Here is a 21,799-nt window from a genome sequence, read left to right as displayed (position 1 = left end):
TAGGCTAAAACTTATTAAAGAGGAATATACAATTCTCTTATTAATATTTATAATTACTTTAGTTTTTTGGAAATTGTATTAAAATTAAATTTCTATAATTATGCTGCATGTAAAAGAATATCACATGTAAATGCTTCACCCAAATGAAAGAATATTTAATATTCAATTTAGAATTCTCTGTAGTAGGATTTCCTTCTCTTCAGGTAGCTGGCTACTGGGGCCTACCAAAACCAATCTATTTCTGCAGTAAAGGCAAACAATGAGTTACTCAGGAAAGAACTCTTTCAGTCTGCAAAGTATAATACATCTTTTCCCTGAGCAGAATAAATTCTTATCCAGTTTTACTGTTCAACTAAAAATTCAATTGAAGTTCATCATTTTCTTTTTTATTACAAAGAAAATCTGGTTAATTTCTAATTATTTGTACTAAATCTATTCTCTATAACTACCTAAAATTACATAGACATACACACATGCATACAAAAGAAACAGTACAACTGGAAGACCAAATAATGTGTACACGTGATCTGTTTAAAAAAAAAACTTTCTATTCTACAATTTTCATTATAGGTTATAGTTGTAATTCAATCAATGGCCTATTTTAAATGAGTGTCTAAGACATCACTGGAGAAAGTATGTACAATGCAAGCAACATTTCCCTATGTAGACACTTTATTTGTAAATATATTTATACTGCAGAGTTAAAATGGTTAACTTTGTTGTCAAAGACTGATAATGGCTAAAGTTTTGTTTCTTAATATATGTATTCGATTTGTTGTTTGGTATCCTATAAACCTTTTATGCTATATCTAAGACTTAAAATGTATTAAACATTGTATGTTGGTCTTTATTGGAAGTCAGGTGGGGGGAACCCATGCAGTTGCTGCCTGGAGGATCTTATCTAACAAAAGAAGTCAATAACAGGCAGCTGAGTGGGCAGTGGTCCAGTGCCAGGTTTTTAGCTGAGACATGAATAAGTTTCTCAGGAATTCTCAGAAATATTTAAGGGATATGAAACTGGTTTACCAATGATCTTTAAAAAAAATCAGCTAAAGAATATCCTATAGTGTCCTGAGGAGAAAAATGAGCAAGGCAAATAATTTGAGATGGGAAACATACTAGTTGATTGCAGGAGAACAGAAAATCTCAAGCAGCAGTTTCACATGACTAGCAAAAACACACCGTTAACGTAGCTGCATAAACTAGAAGTTGATAAGACTCCGAAAAACCAGAGTGTAGGCAAAGCTGGTTAGCAACAAGTGAACCCAACATGGTGTTGGCTTTGAGCTACGTTTCACCTTGGAGAAAATGGCAAAAAAATATACTGCTACTACCAAGCACCTCTGCTACTACCATGCAGCAGAGCAACTGATCAAAGGCAGCAATTGTCTAACTATGGCTGGTTCACATGTGAAAACTAGAAATCCCTGTTTGTTTAATTCATATTTACTCTTTCTGTTATATGAAGTAAAAAAAATTCCTTACTGACACAGTGCTTCATTTTTCTTCCTTATTCTCCACCATTTATTTTCTTCTCACATTAGTTATAGTTTGTAACTTATTTTGTCAAATATATGCTTTGCGGTAACATTGCAGTATTGCAGAAAACACACTGCATTGGAAACAGACTCATATTGAAACGGGAAAACGTCCCTTATCCCCTGCTGCCAAGAGAGCAATGAGGACAGGTTGTGGGGCTCAGATCCCACGCAACATCTAAGGGTGAATGTTTTCAGCTTCTGACTCCCCAGTGGGCATGTGTTACAAGGTGATAATTTAGTTTATCAATCTGTAGGCGGCTTGTGTTAGCTCAATTAGGCACCCTGCCTTACTGCAAAGACAGTGGGCTTTCTGGATCTCAGGGTTTCCTGCCTTGGTGTACCTGAAAAATTGGCTCACACATGGGCTTGGAGAATAAATGCAAGGTTTCATTGAGTGGAAGTTGTCAGCAGATGAATGGGGAGCCAGAAGGGAGATGGAGCAGGGAGGTGGTTTTCCCTTGGAGTGGGGCACGGTCAGCGATCTCCTCCCACAGCCCCAAGGAACTCCATGTTCTGCAGTGGATGGCCTGCCACCTCCATCCTTGTACTCTTCTTCCTCTGGTGTCTTCTCAAGGTACAGTTGCTGTGTCTTCTTCTGCTGATAGTTCCTCTCAACGTCCAGCTGCTGTGTCTCTACCTGCTAGGGGCTCGGGGTTTCTTATAGCACAGGATGGGGGTATGGCAGGCCAGGGTGGTCTTGGAAAATGCAACACTTGGGCAAAAAAACCAGAAGTGCATGTCCTCACCTAGGTCAGTGAGCACAGGCCTCAGGGTGGAACCCTAGCCAAGAACCACACCCTCCTCTACCAGGCATTTACCTGCTCCCCTTCCATATCAATATTTTTTTAAATTTAAAACTCCAAAAATGGTACCCAAATCCTTTAGAGAAGACAGTTGGAGAAAATGTCATTAGGAGAGTCGGTCTAGGATTAGGGTCACTACATGGAAAATGGAAACACAGAAAGCATATCCTTCAGGCCGTGGAATCACTGCGGAAACATATCCCTTGCTGAGAAGGACAGGGAAACAAACTGGCTTCTCTCATCTTCTTGTTCTCTAATCTCTGTAGTGTCACCCCTTGACTAAGCTGAATCAGGAAGTAATTTTTTATGAGAGCCTAGGAAACATGCCTCCCAGGGCCCAGGCCACTCTATTAGATAACAGTGCCAGGGAGAGGTGATTGATGTGTCTGTGGGCATACAAACCCAGTACCTCACACAAAGGTGTATCAGAGACAAATATAGTATCAAGGTATCAAGAGAAATTGTCTCAGGAACAATTCATGCATGTATTTGTGAAAAGACCGAAAAGTAAAACAGAGCTTATGAGATAGTTATCATGACAAGAAGATAAAGAAAAGCAGGCAAAATTGTAAAGTCAAGGGTATTTACATTTCATTTATAGGATTTTGAAAATCCCTTACAGAATCCTTTTCCCAATATCTTCCACTCATGGATTCATAAAAGAAATATTTACTGAGCTAGTATGGTCTAAGAATTGGGCAAATGGCATCATATGCACTGTTAGTACTTCTATCATTGATAGAAAGAATGTTTCTTTTTTTCTACAGTGTTTTTCTCCCAAATATTCTTCAGGAAAATTCATAACTGTACAGATGTGATCAATTGTTCCTGCCCTAAGAAGGTTCCCCAAACCCCTGTAAACCCAGTTAAGAACTTCCTTCCTCTCCAATTAACTTACTAAATTGTATATATTGTAACACTTGTCAGAGTACATTGCAATTATTGCTCTTCCCTTCATCCTCCAATTAAACTATGAATATTTTACAGGAAAAGTCTATAAACACAATGGCTTGACATTTGTCAATATTTATTGTTCAAAAGGTTATTAGATATTTATATATAATAATCTAACATATTTATCCTAATTTCTGGAAAACAATATAAACAATGTTAATTGCCCATTCCCCATGAACTGCTCAACTTTAAAAAATGTCTGTGCTTTTGGAGCAGTTATACAAACTTCCAAAAGACACCTGAAAGAGTTTTTAATTTTTTTTTATTGTTATATTGAATTATTTTGTAGAGACAAAGTCTTGCCCCATGGCCCAGGCTGAAGCGCAGTGTGTGATCACAGCTCACTACAACCTTGAACTCCTGAGTAAACAGAACAACAGATGTGTGCCATCATGCCCAAATTATTAAATTAATTAATTAGTTACATTTGTGGAGATAAGTCTTTCTATGTTGCATGTGCTGGTCTTGAACTCTGGGCTTCAAACAATCCTCCCTTCATAGCCTCCTAAAGAGCTGCAATTCCAGGCATAAACCACCAGACCTCAATGAAAAAAATTTAGACTTTAGAATATTGCAATATGTCAGGTTTAATTTCTTCTTTCAATTTTGCATTTACAGTGGCACTTGAGAATATTTCTTAGAGTGTGATTTCTCATATTTGGTCACCAAATTTTCAAATCTTTATTCTGTTACTTAAACCCTCATAACTGGTAGTCAAGTCGGCTGACAGTCGAGTACATGGGTGTTTTGTGTTGAGGTTATGAAGACAAATGTAGAGAGATATTAAGAACCAAAGACATTTATTTTTTATATATGCTAAAGCTTTATCCTCACAGGTGAGGCATCATTCATGGCATGGATAGTTTTTCATTTTTTTTTTTGAGATGGAGTCTCGCTCTGCCACCCAGGCTGGAGTGCAGTGGCGTGATCTTGGCTCACTGCAAGCTCCGCCTCCCAGGTTCAGGGCATTCTCCTGCCTCAGCCTCCCAAGTAGCTGGGACTACAGGCGCCCGCCACCACACCCGGCTAATTTTTTGTATTTTGTTTAGTAGAGATGGGGTTTCATCGTGTTAGCCAGGATGGTCTCGATCTCCTGACCTCGTGATCCACCCGTCTTGAACTCCCAAAGTGCTGGAATTACAGGCGTGAGCCACCGCGCCCAGCTCATGGCATGGGTAGTTTTATAAAATACCCTGAAATACATACTTTAGTAACCAGTTCAGCACTTGCAATTTCCCAACTTTGTTTTCATCAGGAGTTAATGATGTATGGCACTTCTAGTAAGTAAGTGTTTGAATTGCTGTGAGTTATTTTAGTCATTTCTCAGCTAACCACTTAAGTTATCAAAGATCTTTACTTGTGCAATATCATAAATGCTGAACATTAAAAATTAGTCAACAGGATTAGCTGCCATCTAATGTGATATTTTTCAGTAAGATAACAGCAGTAATTATGCAAAAAATAATCATTCCCATAGTTTGAGCCATGATAGCAATTTCTACCTTAGGATTTCACAGTCAGAGTCCAGATCTGGGCAACAGTGATTAACATAGTGGTTACTAATGAGAAGAGATTTTGATACATCTAGCTATATAAGATGTCAGTGCCTTGAAGGGACGGTTTTGGCATATTAATTAGAAAGAGTGCATTGGACTGGATACTAAGAAATATATTGCATTATTTTTCTTGTCCTCTATAACAGGAAAGGTCAATTAGAGATATAGAAACAATGGAACATTTCACAGCATGGCTTGACATTTCACTGCAGTTTTATTTTTTTTTACCATGTACAAAGTTCATTAAATATGCAAAGGTAGGACTGTTACAGGATGAAAGTGGTGGAGTCAGAGGTCGTAATCCACAGCAACGTGATAGGCTCTTGCAGACGGTACCCTGAGTGCTGAATTAGAGTAAGAATCAGCTTTCAGGCTGCCAGCAGGGGACAAGGAGAATGAAGCTATCAGCAGTTAACAATATTGGATTAATTGAAATGAATGTTGACAGAGATTTTATTGGCTTTACATCAAATTGACTATAGCACTTCAAATTGATTATTTGATAAGGGTAAACTCTTATCAAACTTCCCACATGTAAAATTGAGGATTAATTAAAAGATTACACAACCCATACATATGGTATCTCAATTAAATTTCTATACACATGTGCAAAATTGCAGTATGCAAATATTTGTCTACATCTAAATATATCCAAATCCATTGATGAACAGCTAGAAATTTAGAAATTATTCTCCCATTTTACCATTCCCTTTCTGAGGATTTTGTCACAAATATTATTTTTCCATCTGTTTGAATCCTACTCTCTGGAGGCATGTAATGTATGGATACAGTAAAGCCATGAGATATTATGGGGTTTGTATCAGAGAAAACAATAACACTGGTGTTATAAAAGATCCATTGTGATTATTATAAAAAGTCCCCTTCCTCCTTACTTGTATCAAAGTCTTTTTCATCATGGGGGAAATAATGCAACATACTTTGGTAAGTTAAAAAAGTATAAAAGTAAAAATAAATCCCACTGCAGATGGCAGGGGACCTTCTGTGTGTGTCTAGCGAGAGAATGTGGCTGAGCATTAAGGCCTACCTGAGTATTGGTGTAGACACCCAGTTTCCCTCCTACCAGAGTGAGTGTGGGCACGTTCCAGCCTGCGTGTTTGAGCTGGTGCATGTGTGTGCACACCTGTGCCTGTGTACCTTTGTGTACCTTGGTTTGGGGAGGGGACCCACATTCCCACCCACAGGTATGACTCAAACTCAGCTCTTGAGCTGCCAAGCAGGGGTCAGCCGGGTTTGGCAATCCAACTTCAGGACCCATGAAGCCTGAGCCCTAGGGAGACGTGAAGAGTCCTCATTGCTCTCACACATGGCAGAGGTAGGAGGAAAAGGGTGGTTGGCGCGAGCTACCTAGAGAAGATGTCATGGACCTCAAATGACATCTGGAGGGAAATGAAACCTAGCAGCTGTCTTTGTCTTCCTGTGTGTTCAGTCGGTACATTCAGGGAAGAAGCAATGGAACCGGAGGGGCTTTGGGATGCACTGTCTGGGAATCCCTGTGCACCAGAGAGTTTCCAGCCCATGAGACAGGAGGACAGCATGTGGGCCCAGCAAGGCCTGAGTCTCCAGGGAAGTTGGCATTCTCCCCAAGAGGGCACGGGTCGGTAGGTGGAGGAGAAACCCAGGCCGCGGGGTCAGGTAGATGGGACACTTATCACTTAGCCAGGTGGGAGCTCAGGAGAATGCCTGGTGAGCAGCGGCCTAATAGGCCAGTGACACCCAGTTCCAGTACTGCATGTGTGGACACAAAAGCTTTGCCCTGTGCATCCTCTCCAGGGTGCCTCATGTGGGTGGACAGGAAGCAAGGCACACAGCATCCTAAGCTTATGGTCATGAGTGGACACAGAGGGGGTCTCCAGTATCACTAGTCCCAGGAGAGGCAGGCATGCATGATCTCTTCAGCACAGGGTTAAAATGCATAAGCCCAGCTCTCCACCCAGTGGGTGTCTTGCCCTGATGATGTCAGCCATGGCAGATACAGCTCTTCCACCTAGATTGCAGATCCACAGGCTTACGACTCCCCCCTGGCATTCTCCAGGAATGGTCCCTGGACACTGGACCAGCCAGTGCCCCACGGGTGTTCTTTCCAGCCTCCAAGCTCACGGGAAGCTCATTGATGACTCTCCTCCTAGTACATGGCCACACACAGGCACTATCAACAACCCAGGGTCCTTCTACATTCCAGGGTCCTGCCACCGTACCCAGCAGTGGGATAATGGAAAGGGAAAGAGCTGGAACAGACAGAGCAGAAGCCACAAGCCTCACCCTCCCGCATGGCAAGGGAATGAGGGGATCCTTCCCAGCCCAGGGAGCTGCTTCCTGAACACACCTGGAAGCCCAGCACCAGCTGAGGGATTCACTCCACCACACCTGGGCATGGGGGATTTCAATGTGTGCCAGAGACCTTGATCCTGGTCGCCCTACCAGGTGTACTTCTCCTCCAGGTCACATTATGTTCACACCCTCCTTAAGCCAGATGGACTCCTTGTCCTCACCACTTAGTGTTGGCTGGAAGTGTTACTCCTGGTGCCCCAGCCACTGTTTCAAGGTGCAGAGACTGACAAGCAGACCCCTGAGTCCTTGTCCTCCTGTCCAAGTAATATCCACAGAAATGGTAGAAGAGTGGCACATTAGACCTCATGACATTTTTAAGGCTGACCTCTTTATAAGCATCTCATCCAGGTATTTATGAGTTTTTCTCATTTATTGTATTTATTTATATCTCTCATTTAAAAATCAATTTATGCTTAGAGGTATTTCAACATATAACCAAATGTTCAGAGCTATGACATACAGGTTTCAAGCTTGAAAGTCTGTACCTGCTATTACGGTGGGTAAAACACATCCAGCACTTACAAAAATACGTAATTATTAGGCATGACCACTGTAGTGGTCTCAAACATTCAAATTCTCCGCAAACCCATTTGAAAATATTCCTGGTGGTACTGAACACAGTACTTGCTGCTAATGAATAAAAAACAGTGTAAGCATTTTCTGGATACTGGACCACCTCTGGCCTAGCTAGGTTAGATAAGGTGAGACAGCTCTGCCTAAGTGTCCTGCTGTCACGGGGACAAACCCCTCAGGAGCCCTGGACCAGTACATCACGAAGTCTAACACCCTGATAACACTATGCAGAAGGAACATCCCATGGAGAGACTCGTAGAAATAGAAGATGTCTGAGGATCTCAGCAGTCCAGCCCCCACTATCTGAGTCATGCTAGCCATGGCACCATGGTGATGAGAAGACATCTGACAATGTCCCCATCCTGAGCCATCACTAGACTGCATCCTCCTGAGTACCCCTGAACCACAATCATTTGGCTTACAGACTGTGAAAGACTGCAGAGACTGAAGTTAGTAAATTATAATTATTGTTTTAAGCCATTAAGTTTTAGGTAATTTTGAAAAGTACTTTAGACTCCTAGAAAAACTGAGTTGTCTACTGATTTGAGTAATTGTGGAGAGCTTTAAAGGCCAATGTCATGAATGCTAATACCCTGGAAAAGTCAAACCATCAAGACTCTTCAAAACACAATAGATATTTAATGTCCCTTTGCTATGGCTGGAGAATAATATAACGTATCTGACAGAGTTTTTTGAAAGCCTCTATTCACATCTCTTGGCTGGGTATGGGTCAATTCTGGTCTGGTTTAATTCTAGTCAATTGCAGCAATTCATCTTTTGTTTTAGGTCCTGGCCTACACTGATTTTTTGATCACTGACCATGTCTGTGTCTGTGCGTGTATGTTTTGTGTGTTACCATACTTTATCTGAAGGGGCTAAATAATAGTGCTACAGTTGTTTTGTAAACATAAAGCATTCCACAAAGACGATATTGCTTATCTGCTGAGCTTTAAAACAGATATGAGGCAGGGCATGGAGGCTCACACCTGCACTCCCAGCAGTTTGGCAGGCCAAGGTGGGCAGATCTCTCGATGTCAGGAGTTTGAGACAAGCCTGGCCAAGATGGCAAGATCCCATGTCTAGTATCATATCAAAGTTAGCCAGGCTTGGTGGCCCATGGATGTTATCCCAGCTACTCAGGAGGCTGATGCAGGAGAATCCATTGAACCCTGGGGAAGGAGTTTGCACGGTACTGAGATAACACCACTGTGCTCCAGCCTGGGCACCAGAGTGAGACTCTGTCTCAAAAATAAAAAAAAAATAATAAAATAATAAAACAGGAGAGATCACTGAAGAAAGAAATGCATAAAACTGAGTGGGCATTGTGGCTCACGCCTGGGATCCCAGCATTTTGAGAGTCTGAGGTGGGTGGATCACTTGAGGACAGGAGTTCGAGACCAGCCTGAGCAAATATTGTGAAACCTCGTCTCTACTAAAAAAACAAACAAACAAAAATAGTTCGGATTAGTGTCATATACCTGCAGTCGCAGCTGCTCAGGAGGGTGTGACTGGACAATTGCTTGAAACCAGGATGGGGAGGTTGTAGTGAGCTTAGATCATGCCACTGCACTTCAGCCTAGGTGACAGAGCAGAATTCCATCTTAAAAAAACTCAAATAGAGAAAAAGATAGGAAGGAAGGAAGGAAGGTAGGAAGGAAGGAAGGTAGGAAGGAAAGAAGGAAGGAAGGACGGATGGAGGGAGGGAGGAAGGGAAGAAGGGAGAAAGGAGACAATTAAAGGCATAAAACCAACAGGAAATGAATAAAAATAAAAAGATGCCATTTTGCCCATTATACACATGAATTTTTGAACTATGTTTGAAATAATATCTAGGTCTCTAGTTGACTAACTGAAGATTAAAATAAGCCGGCATCAAAATTACTCATGTAACTATGGGTGTTAACTATGATTCTTGTAGTTTTCAACAACCAAATTCTAATTAATATTTGTCATCAAATCACATACTACTAGGGGCAGGGTAGTCTGTGTTATGCTGCCTAATCTACACTAGATTAAAAAAGAAATCAAATCTGCAAAAGGCTTTACAGTTACTATTATCAGTAAAGAGTGTTTTGTTTCCCAACTTGTGGACAGTTTTATTTCCACAGTGTTGATAGCTCTGGCAGAAAGCCTTCTTGGTCCAAACTCACCCTTTATCATCACAGTATTTACATGTTCAGGCATTAAGGGGAAAGAGCATCCAATCCCACTGCTTTCCTGCATTGATTCCCATGCACAAGCAAAAGTGCTGTGTTAGCGGCTATCAAATATTCAAATATTTGATGAAGGAAATTTGTGTTTCCAAACTGTAAAACAAAAATATTACCATCCGTTGTATTTGTATTATTTATTTACTTAGAGGCAGGGTCTTGCTCTGTCATCAGGCTGAATCATACATCACTGCAGTCTCAGACTTTTGGCCTCAGAGGATACTCCAATCTCAGCCTCCCAAAGTATTGAAATTACAGACTTAAGCCATTGTACCCAGGCTCAAGTTTAGAGATAAATGCTAATGAATATATTATAAACCATATAAATAAACATAATTGCAGGCTCTCCAGAACTGTAAGAAACCACTGAAAAACTACCATTGTGGACAAGGCTGCTGGCAACAATGTAATGCAAGCAAAGGAGTGGGTCCTTCCCCACTGAGTCTTCAGATGATACCAAAGGCCAGCTTGGCATTTCCACTGCAGCTTTTTGAGAGAACATGCAACATAGGTGTGTGCGTTTGTGTGTGTGTGTTTGTGTGTGTGTAAGCATACATACAAAACCTGTTGAACAAACTAGGATCACCCACACAATGGAATATGATGCAGCTTTTCGTAGATCTGTTAGAATTCATCCTGAATCAATCAGTTCCTGGGTTTTATTTATTTATTTTTTTGGCTGGTTGGTTACTTATTACTAATGATTCCATTTTGGAAATTGAAATTGGACAGGTTGGAGCTGAGACTGGGTCCACTTAGGTTCTGCTGTGGAATGGAGAATGGCAAGCCTGTAATTTTGGCTGTGATGGTTACTGGAAGGTCTCTGCATGGATGGGCTAGCTTTCTGCCTGCAGCAAGAGGTCCTCGGACTGACTATCAGCTCCCTTGACATCTGCTGTCACAGTGGGAGGGGCTGGAGCTGAGACTGCGATTCTCTGTTTCTGAATAAAGTCATGTGCTCTAGAGATTCTAATGCCCAGAGATTTCCATTAGATATATCAGAAGTGATCTTCCTTCCAGGGGTACTAAGGCTTATTATATAAACTACTTGCACACTGGGTCCACGTAGGGCCAGAAACTTCATCCTTCACTACTAAATTGCCTCTGCTTTTCAGCCTGGGGATGGGTGGAGCACACAGGGTTAGGACGGTCAAAAGTATGGCAGCTGAGATTGGGTGGGGACACATGCCCCTTCTGTGGATAGTCATCAAGCTGCTGCTTTGTCACAGCCTTGGAAGTTTTGCAGAGAAAATCAGGGTTGGATATGGCAGTCGGCCAGTGATTTGAGCCTGGCAGACTCCTCAACCATGGTTGGTTGCTGCAGAATGATGCTGTTGCCTAGTTTTTCTGGTGGTGCACCTCTGCTGGCTGGAAAGCAAAGCCACCAGTAAGATTACTGTCATGGTCAATGTGAGCCCCATGCATGTACTTTGTTTCTAACTGACCCCAGTTGTCTAATACCCCTAGTGTTTCCCACAGGGTAAGACTAGAGAGAACATCATGTAAAGAATTGCAAAATGGAAAAGAAAAGGCTGAATGTACACCTTCAACTCTCTCCACCCTGAAGAAACAGTGAGTCTGGGGAAATTTTTTGTATGCAACACTGTGCTGGCTTGGGGAGGAGAAAAGTATCAGATTAAAACTGTTCTTTTGGCCGGGCACAGTGGCTCATGCCTGTAATCCCAGCATTTGGGGAGGCCAAGGCAGGCAGATCACGAGGTCAGGAGATCAAGACTATCCTGGCTAACACAGTGAAACCCCGTCTCTACTAAAAATACAAAAAATTAGCTGGGTGTGGTGGCAGGCACCTGTAGTCCCAGCTACTCAGGAGACTAAGGCAGGAGAATGGCGTGAACCCGGGAGGCGGAGCTTGCAGTGAGCCGAGATCACACCATGGCACTCCAGCCTGGGCAACAGAGGGAGACTCCGCCTCAAAAAAAAAAAAAAAAAAAAAAAAACTGTTCTTTTATTCTATGTGTGTGGCTATTCTCAGTTCTACAACTGAAGAAGGTGTCACAGATTCAATCCCAAGTTATAGAATCATTCACTAAGGTGTCCTTATCTAAGGATAGCTGTGAGTTGAGGTTTTGGTTTTGCAGAGAGGGAGGGAGTTAGGAGAATCACAGAATGCCTATTCTGTCACATCAGACCCTAGAAACAGGCAAGTTGAAAGACTGGTTCAGGCTGAGCACAGTGGCTCATGCAAGTAACCCCAGCACTTTCAGAGGCCAAGGTGGGCATATCATGAGGTCAGGAGGTCAAGACCACACTGGCTAACAGGGTGAAATCCCCTCTTTACTAAACATACCAAAAAATAAAAAATTAGCCAGGTCTGGTGGCACGTGCCTGTAGTACCAGCTACATGGAATGTTGAGGCAGGAGTATCTCTTGAACCCAGGAGGTAGAGGTCAAAGTGAGCTGGGATCATGCCACTGCACTCCAACCTGGGTGACAAAGTGAGATCAGATCTCAAAGAAAAAATAGTGGTCCTAAGGGAGGAGGAGTTTAAAATGTTGGGGTGTTTCCATGGAAAAGCTGAAAGCTAGAGCAAACCAAGGGTTGGATTTAAGGAAGAGCTCACAGGACCACTGAAAACTACCTCTTTGTCCTCTATGGAATGCAGGAAATAGCAAATTCTGAGCTCCACTGCTTACTGATATAGGCAAGTTATCAGCCAGAGATACATATCTTAATCTGTTTGTGTTCCTATAAAAGACTATGAGACTGGAAAATTTATAAAGAAAAGAGCTTTCATTGGATCTTGGTTCTGCAGGCTGTAAAAGATGTGTGGTGCCAGCATCTGCATCTGGCGAAAGCCTCGCCAGGTTTCCACTCAGGACAGAAGGTAAAAGGAAAACAGACATGTCAGGTGTGGAGAGAGCAAGAGAGAGAAGAGGAGAAGGTATCAGGCTCTTTTCAACAACTTCTTTGGATGTAATCTCCACCGTGGGAACTAATACAGTGGAAAACTCACTTAATAACCATGGTGAGGGCACCAAGCCATTTATGACGGATCCATCCCCATGACACAAACAAACACCTCCCACTAGATGCCATTAACAATGTGGAGGACCACATTTCAACCTGAGGCTTGGAGGGACAAATGTCCAAACTATATCAATAGGCAAGTTTAAAAATCATGCCGAGTTACAGTAAAACAATCCTTTTTCCTCTTTAGAATCCTGGAACTACAAAAAGCTGGGATTCATTAGCTTCCCGAGATTGGCAAGTTAGTATTCAGACTCTTAGGCAGCAACCTGAGAAGTCAGGGCCATAGTTGGGTAATCTGACTTCTTGGAAGGAAAATTTGGAAGCTCTATATATTGTTAGAGTGAGGGATGATGAAGACTGATGAGAAATGCCTATGTGCCTGCTCTCAGAGGATCCTGACAGATCCAAGTCAGGAGAACTGGCAGAAGCTATTAAAGTCAAGATATGGCTGGGTGCAGGCTCACGCCTGTAATCCTATCACTTTGGGAGGCCAAGGCAGGTGGATCAGCTGAAGTCAGGAGTTTGAGACCAGCCTGACCAACATGGTGAAAACTTGTCTCTACTAAGAAACACAAAAGTTAGCATAGCATGGTGGCAGGTGCCTGTAATCCCAGCTACTTGGGAGGCTGAGACAGGGGAATCACTTGAGCCCAGGAGGCAGAGTTTGCAGTGAGCCGAGATCATGCCATTGCACTCCAGCCTGTGCAACAGAGCAAGACTCTGTCTCAAAAGAAAAACAAACAAAAAAAATGTCAAGACGTTAGATGTACAATCTAAGATCTTCAAGGTACAAAGTGGGAGCTGAGTTTTCTTGACTACTTGAGATTCAGTAAACCAGGAGGAAACAGTTTTAGAAGTGCTTGAATGTCTATTTAAATCCCTCTTTATCTTGGAGGTCCTAGGAGAGTTATGAATACCAATCTGTGCTAGAATCCAGAGATAGGTAATAATTTCCTTGAGAAGCAGCTGTAACAGTTGGGGCATTACATATGTGGTTTAATACTTCAGTCCTCTGAGAGAAGCTGTGAAATAACAGTTCCCTATTGACTCTAGGGCACTGTGTCAGACACAAACTCTAGAACAAGATCATGATTCAGTTTTTCTTACCTCTTTTTAAGTGAGCATTTTCACAATCCTATGTGCAAGAGTATCTCAACTAGTTTCTGAGTTTATCTCATAGGGAATTGATGTGGGTGTGGCTTTTATTTGTTGCATTTGTGGATGGAGGAACAAATTAGAGCCTTCTATTTTATCAACTTGTTGGAGATATCCTTTTTATTATTTTTTTACTTATTTTAAAAAATTTGTACATAACAGTCATAGATACTTTTGGCATACCTGCCATATTTTGATACAAGCAATGTGTACTGGTAAGGACGGGATCAAAGAGCTGATGAGGGTGGGTTAAATTATAGTTGCTTAGAAGGAATAAGATCTAGTGTTCGGTAGCACAGAATGAGTACATTTAATTATGATTTATTGTATATCTCAAAAGAATTAATAGAGTGAAGGAGGAATGTCGCCCAGGTTAGAATGCATGGCATAATATCGGCTCACTGCAGGCTCAGCCGCCCAGGTTCAAATGATTCTACTGCCTGAGCCTCCCAATTAACTGTAACAGTACAGGCATGTGCCACCACACATGGCTAATTTTTATATTTTTGCTAGAGATGGGATTTCATGATGTTGGCCAGCCTGGTCTTGAACTCCTGACCTAAAGTGATCTGCAAGCCTTGGCCTCCCCAAATGTTGGAATTAAAGACCTGAGCCATCACAACTGGACAGTAAGATATGCAAAACTAGGGAGTTTTATCTTTTCACTTCATCCTCACAATCCTACAGCTGAATAAAAACACAACTTCACAACATGAATAACTCACTTGAAAATCGAAGTTGGTAACTTCTCCCTTTAAAATTATTTGCACCCTTACCCTATAAAAAGTGATGATCTTGTCAAAATTTTCTCAGGAAAATACTCCTTCCTTGCAGATTAGTCTGTTAATTGTAAGAATTATGGACGGCAAAACTTCTGGAACTTCATGTATTTCATTTTTCTAGGTTGCATAATCAGGAAAATAAATCGACTTAGTTATTTAGGTCCAAATCTTTTTATTTTTATCATTCGATGATTGCTCAAACCTTTAAGCAATCCATCTGAAACTTTATGCTGTTGTTTATGTTTTATACACTTCATTTTCCCAAAAGTATGAGGTAAATCATTTCCATTCATATCATCAATTAAATTTGATAGGCTGAGTGCAGGGGCTAATGCCTGTAATCTTAGCACTTTGGGGGTCCAAGGAGGGTGGATCAGGATTTTTAAGAACGGCCTGGCAAACATGGTGAAACCCTGTCTGTACTAACAATACAAAAAATTAGCGAGCTGTGGTGCACACATCTCTAATAACAGTTACTCAGGATGCTGAGGCAAAAGAATAGCTTGGACCCAGAAGGCAGAGGTTGAAGTAAGGCAAGATGGAGCCACTGCAGTCCAACTTGGGCGACAAAGCTACACTCCATCTCAAAAAAAAATTTTGATAAAATCCCAACCATTCTAGATTATCTCTATTTGTAAGAACTTATTACTAAATCATTACTTACAATAACCATTGTCAAAACTTTCAAGAAAAAACTAACATGAGTACCTCCCAAGATAAAACACCTACTTTCCACTATTTAAACTAGGAACATTTAATTTCATTATGTTATTCACTTGAGAAACTTAGCTGGTTCAGTTTTGATTTAGGTAAAAAAAAAAGGTTTCATTACCATTATACCCCTTCAGTCACAGAATGCTTCAGGTAGAATGTTCCAGATGTTTTAAACTTTAGTATCAACCACATCTAATTATTTCCGTTCACCTGTACTATTCCTCTAAAAAATAAATGTTTTATGATGAGGCAGACAGTTTTGTAGTCCTTCTGAAGGAGTCTCAAACATTTCAAGCTTGTAAGTTTTTAAAGAGAAAAGGCCTAATTAGAAAACTTGTGCAGCTTGCAGGGAGATGTAACATATGCCTAATTTTGTATATATTTATGTTCAGAGAAACAAAGGAAAATGTTCAACAAAAACACAATTTACTCTTCTATTGTATTTGCTTTTAAGCATGTGCAGCTAACCAATAACATCAGCTATTTTGCATTACATGTAAAATTTTTTCTGAAATTTTTAATGTAGATATTACATCTAAACAGATAGTTTTCAAATAGCATTAACAAGTATGAAATTACTCCGAAAAAAATTGTTTTCCTTGGAATACCTCAACAGATTGATGGAGGAAGTTAGTATCTACATCTCTCCCCAATACTAACATGTTTCTTTCAGTAATATGCAGGTAACAATGTAGAAATAACACGTCAATTTTCAATTTGCAAACAAGCTTTGGTATGCAATAGCTACTATTTGGAATACTTGCTTTAATATCTGCTTCAGTCTCCTTTTTCAGATCTACTTTCCCGACCATCTATTGTAGATGCCACATAACTTGAGCTACCATATGCTTCACGACGAGCAGGGTGCACCCTATCCAGAGAAAGTGGATTCCTTTGGTCTTTTCTGCCAACGTGCTCATGACCACAAAAATAAAAATCACCGCAGCTTCTTGAGTAACTCTCCTGACTTCTGCCATATCTATCTAGTGTATTGTTATAATCAGGGCGGCTGCTTCCACCATAAGACATCCGAGGCCCTCGTGCAGGTGGTGCACCATGAGAGGTCCCTGCAGGCTGATAAAATAATATGTTGGACTACAATTAAACATTTTTTACTGCCATCACTAAAGGATGAATTAGTTAAATTACTATTTGGAAATATCTGCTTTCCTCTGCCCTTGTTGACAGGATAGATATTAATTAAGCCTGCATTGGTCAGAAGGTTTTATTTAAAAGTAGTGTGAGAGTAGTATTTTGAAGCTTAACAAATTTAATCCTAAAGTAAACATTGAGTCATATTTTCTGCACGTGAACTGAAGTTCTCTCCTTCATATCGTTCCCTATGCTTTATACTGTTAAGAATACTCAATATTTAAACATGCTATATTGTCCTTTATAATTTTCCTTAGAATTTCATTAAAATAATGATCTGGTCTATTACATAAAATTCTGTAATTTAAAAATCCATCCTAGACTCTTACCATATCCCTGAAATGCATCTCTGTAAGAACTTCCACTTGTATGTTCAGAATGATCTCTACCACTGGTCTCACCATAGCCAACAGGATCAGTAAATTGAAAAAAGTTTTTAAATGTCAGAATAAACAATTTAAGAAACCCGTTTGATGAATCCAGATAACATTATAGTACCTATATCCTACAGAGGAATGTTCATCCCGACTAGAACGACCATAATCACAGTATGCATAGTCTCTAGGTGGTGGAGCATAATCCCTGGTTTCTCAGGAGCGTGGATGATTTCTGTGTGTGTAAGTTTAAGCAACAAATTTTAAATTTTCAACTTCTAATATCCAAAATATAACTAAATTACAACTTAAACATAATTAAATTGCCTAACATCTAAACAGATATTTCTCCAAATAAAATAGGGAAACGCCCAAAAAGCGCATGGAACAGATACTCATAATCAGTGGTTCAGAAAATGCATTTCAAATCCAAAATGAGATTCCAGACTTCATAAACACACTGGAATGGCAATAAATTTTAAAAAGCAGGAAAGAGCAAGTGTTTGAGAGTATGTAGATAAACTGGAACCCTGATACAACATTAGTTAGAATGAATAATTTAAGAAATCTTTTTGACAAATCCAGAAAAAGTTGTAGTACCTATATCCTCTAGAAGAATGTTCATCCCAGCTAGAATGACCATAATCATGGTATGCATAGTCTCTAGGTGGTGTCCTAGTTTCTCAGGAGCTTGGATGATTTCTGTGTTCATAAGTTTAAGGAAGTCAGTGCGGCGATTCCTCAGGGATCTAGAACTAGAAATACCATTTGACCCAGCCATCCTATTACTGGGTATATACCCAAAGGTTTGTAAATCACGCTGCTATAAAGACACATGCACACGTATGTTTATTGAGGGCCTATTCACAATAGCAAAGACTTGGAACTAACCCAAATGTCCAACAATGATAGACTAGATCAAGAAAATGTGGCACATATACACCATGAAATACTATGCAGCCATGCAAAATGACGAGTTCATGTCCTTTATAGGGACATGGATGAAGCTAGAAACCATCATTCTCAGCAAACTATGGCAAGGACAAAAAACCAAACACTGCATGTTCTCACTCATAGGTGGTAACTGAACAATGAGAACACATGGACACAGGAAGGGGAACATCACACACTGGGGCCTGTTGTGGGGTGGGGGAAGGGGGGAAGGATAGCATCAGGAGATACACCTAATGTTAAATGAAGACCTAATGGGTGCAGCACACCAACATGGCACATGTATACATATGTAACAAGCCTACACGTTGTGCACATGGACCCTAAAACTTCAAAGTATAATAAAAAATTAAATTAAATTAAAAAAATTTAAATTTTCAATTCTAGTATCCAAAGCATAACTAAGTTACAACTTAAACAAAATTAAAAGGCCAAACATCTAAATAGATATTTCTCCAAATAAAATAGGCAAATGCCCAAAAAGCACATGGAACAGATACTCACAATCAGTGATTCAGAAAATGCATTTCAAATCCAAAATGAGATACCATACTTCACACACACACTGGAATGGCAATAAATTTTAAAAAGCAGGAAATAACAAGTGTTTGAGAGGATGCAGATAAATTGGAATGCTGATACAATGCTAGTTGGAATGCAAAAGGATGGAGCTACCATGGAGAAGTGTGGTGGTTCCTCAAGAAAATACATAATTATCATAGTACCAAAAAATTCCACTCATATACACACAGAATTGAATAAGTGTATTCAAACAAACATCATTGCATAGAAATACTGGGGTGGAAACAACCCAAATAAAATAATGGGTTAATAGCTTGTAGAAGGAGTGAAGTGCTATGATGTAAATCAGCCTTCAGGTCATCATGCAAAAGCAAAGGAGACTGATACAAAAAGTCATGTAGTGTTTGAGCCCATTAACATTAAATGCCCACAACAGTAAGTTCAGACGCAGAACACTGATTAGTGTTTGCTAGCAGCTGAGGAAAGGGAGAAAATGGAAGGGACTGCTTAACTGGTAATTGGAGTTTTAGTTTGGAGTGAGGAAAATGTTTTGGAACTCGATGGAGGTAGTTGTTGCATGACACAGCATGTATTAAATGCCACTTAACTGTTTACCTTATAATATTTCATTTTGTTATGTAAATTTCATCACCACAACAAAAAAAAATCAACTTTTTAAAAATTTTTCCTTTACCTCTCCTTAGTTGCATAACCATCGTCTCTTAGAGACATGTGGTCATTTCTCCAGGAAGAGATTGGCCGTCTACGTGTAGGACCTCCATAATTCTCTCTTCCACATGATATGGGACCTTTAATATTAAAATGATGGAACTTTATGTAAAGAACATCAAATCTGAAACACTGTTTTCTCTTATCTCAAACAACTTTTAAAATTGTTTCTTCTATGACTCCGTTCTTTGTTCCATAAATTACTAGCCAGTCATGACACTGTGAATATTTCTTATGGTTTTGGATAATCCCATGGCTCCCACAAGGCCAGTTCTTCTAATGAAGCTGAAGCCAAATGCTCATTCTTAGGTAAAAGTTCATTTGTAATGGTTAATCACTGCTTAGTTATATTTTCCTTTTCATATGAATTACTGATGATTACCAATGACACAGGGAAAACATGTAAAACCATCAAACTCTTCACTGAATATAAAGTTTACATATGTTGTCCTTTCTCAGCTGAAGAAGGTAAATTTTCCCATGTAGTTCAATCCACCTCACACAAACAAATACTGCTACCTTTGAATGACTGCATGCCAAATTTTTACATAACAGTTCTCCTTTAACTCTAAGTAGTTGGCTCTATCTTAAATGTTGACAAATTAAAATGTGCTAGTGAAAACTTTCTAATGATGGCCAAGAATTACTTTTAGTGCAATAAGCAACACTATTAAAGGGGTCATTACAACACTGTTGCTATTTCAAAATAGAAAAGTTTCTCCTTTAATATACTCTTCACAGTGCTTTTCCTTAGAGGTCAGTCTTTCACCTGTGATATGTTCACTGGCTTATTTTTCAATGGAAATGTGTTGGCTTCTGTATCCTGAAGTCACTAAATACCTGACTTCACCTATACTCTATCCTGAAGTCAATAAATACCTGACTTCACTGATACTCTACATATGAAATGTAAAATTGAAAATGTCAGGTTTTAATTTCCTCCATATTAGGATGGAGGACTAAGTAAGAATTTTAATTTGTTCTGCTTAACTTCTTTGCTAAAAACTTTTATTTATTGTCTTGCTTTCTTCTGTTCAGTCTGCAATCTTACAATTCTCCTTCTCAAAAATATTTCTTCTATTCAATCCTACTGCTCACCTCATGTGCTTAGATCTAAATTCGCTCCTCAAATAATTTCCAACCTCACACTAAGGATCTTGTGTTAATGTTTAAGCATCCTGGAACAATCTTAATTATTGATTTACATCCCCTTGTATTTCACAACTCTGCACTTCTGTAAAATCCACTTCAGTTAAGAATATTGGACTCCTTCATGTCTACCTTTCAAGCCTTAAATTTATTTTTAAATAATATTTAAGCCCAGTGACTCCTTTTCTGCTAAATGTTCTTGCAGTTCTTTTGAATCTTTGTATAAGCAGTAACGATGTCTTGCATATAAGCATTACTGAGGTCTCAGAAGCTGGATGGCCAGGCTCAGTTGCTCACACTGTGAGCCAGTGTGGAAGGCTGAGGCAGCTGGACTGCTTGAGCCACGGGCTTTGACAATGTAGTGACAGGTTTGACAATGCAGCAACATCCTCTCTCTACAAAAATATAAGGAAAAAAATTTAGCTAGCTGTGGTGGTGTATGCCTGTAGTTGCAGAAACTCAGGTGGCTGAAGCAGGAGAATTGCTTGGGCCCAGAAATTTGAGACCGTTGTAAGCCATCATCTCACCAGTGCACTCTGACCTGGTAAGAGCAAGACTCCAAACCAACAAAGAAACTGAACAAGCAATTTTTAGATTGGGACACCAGGGGAACACTACCTAGGAAATGGAAGAATTCATTAGATGAAGAAGCCTACCATCAAAGAATATTGCTAGGAACTTTTAGAAAATTAAGGGGAATTTTCTAGCAAACACAGGATTAAAAGGAATGTTGTCCTCACTCTAATCACTTCTTTGATCTGCAATGAGAAGCTCAAGTATTTCTTCACAACAAATCTGAAATGTACCCAGTGAGATAGAAACTATAATAAAAGCTATCGATCAGTAATTATGCCCATGTATGTGTCACTTCTCCTTTGTTCAGTGAACTTAAAGTTAAGCATCCAGGTAAAATAGCTCATTTTTAGTCATACAAAAACTACAGTCTTTCTATCAGATAGCATTTACCTTGGCCTCTCATCCAATTATTGCTTCTTACCACAGCAGAAGGAGCAGACTTTTTAGGAGGAGGACCTCCACTTTTTGAAGAGGGACCTCTTTTAACTAGAATGGGTTGCCTAGAAGAACTCGTGTTGAGATCAAGAGAGTATGCATCATCATCTGTATTTCAAACAAAATCTTTTCAGTTAACTAACATCACTGTTTCTTAAATGGCTAAGTTTTAGTTGTTTATAAAGATTATCTACATATTATCATCTTATAAATTCATATTTGTCTAAGCTAATAAAATTAACATTTCTATATGAAATAAGTACAGTTCAAGCAATAAAAGTCT

At 39.8% G+C, this 21,799-nt stretch overlaps 2 pseudogenes across 1 annotated transcript; both read right to left on the bottom strand.

The window, feature by feature from the left end:
- TTTY25P (testis expressed transcript, Y-linked 25, pseudogene) lies at positions 6,217-6,687 on the bottom strand (annotated as a pseudogene).
- LOC100652931 (RNA binding motif protein Y-linked family 1 member A1 pseudogene) lies at positions 17,835-21,541 on the bottom strand (annotated as a pseudogene). Its single transcript, NR_104151.1, has 3 exons — positions 21,472-21,541; positions 19,322-19,436; positions 17,835-17,856 (listed from the first exon to the last, which is right to left on the bottom strand). The product of NR_104151.1 is annotated as an RNA binding motif protein Y-linked family 1 member A1 pseudogene (transcript).
- Positions 21,542-21,799: the final 258 nt, after the last annotated feature.

This window comes from Homo sapiens, chromosome Y, assembly GCF_000001405.40.
Source record: "Homo sapiens chromosome Y, GRCh38.p14 Primary Assembly".
NCBI lineage: Eukaryota > Metazoa > Chordata > Mammalia > Primates > Hominidae > Homo > Homo sapiens.
Note: the sequence above shows the minus strand (reverse complement) of the source record. Positions and strands in the feature narration are given on the sequence as shown.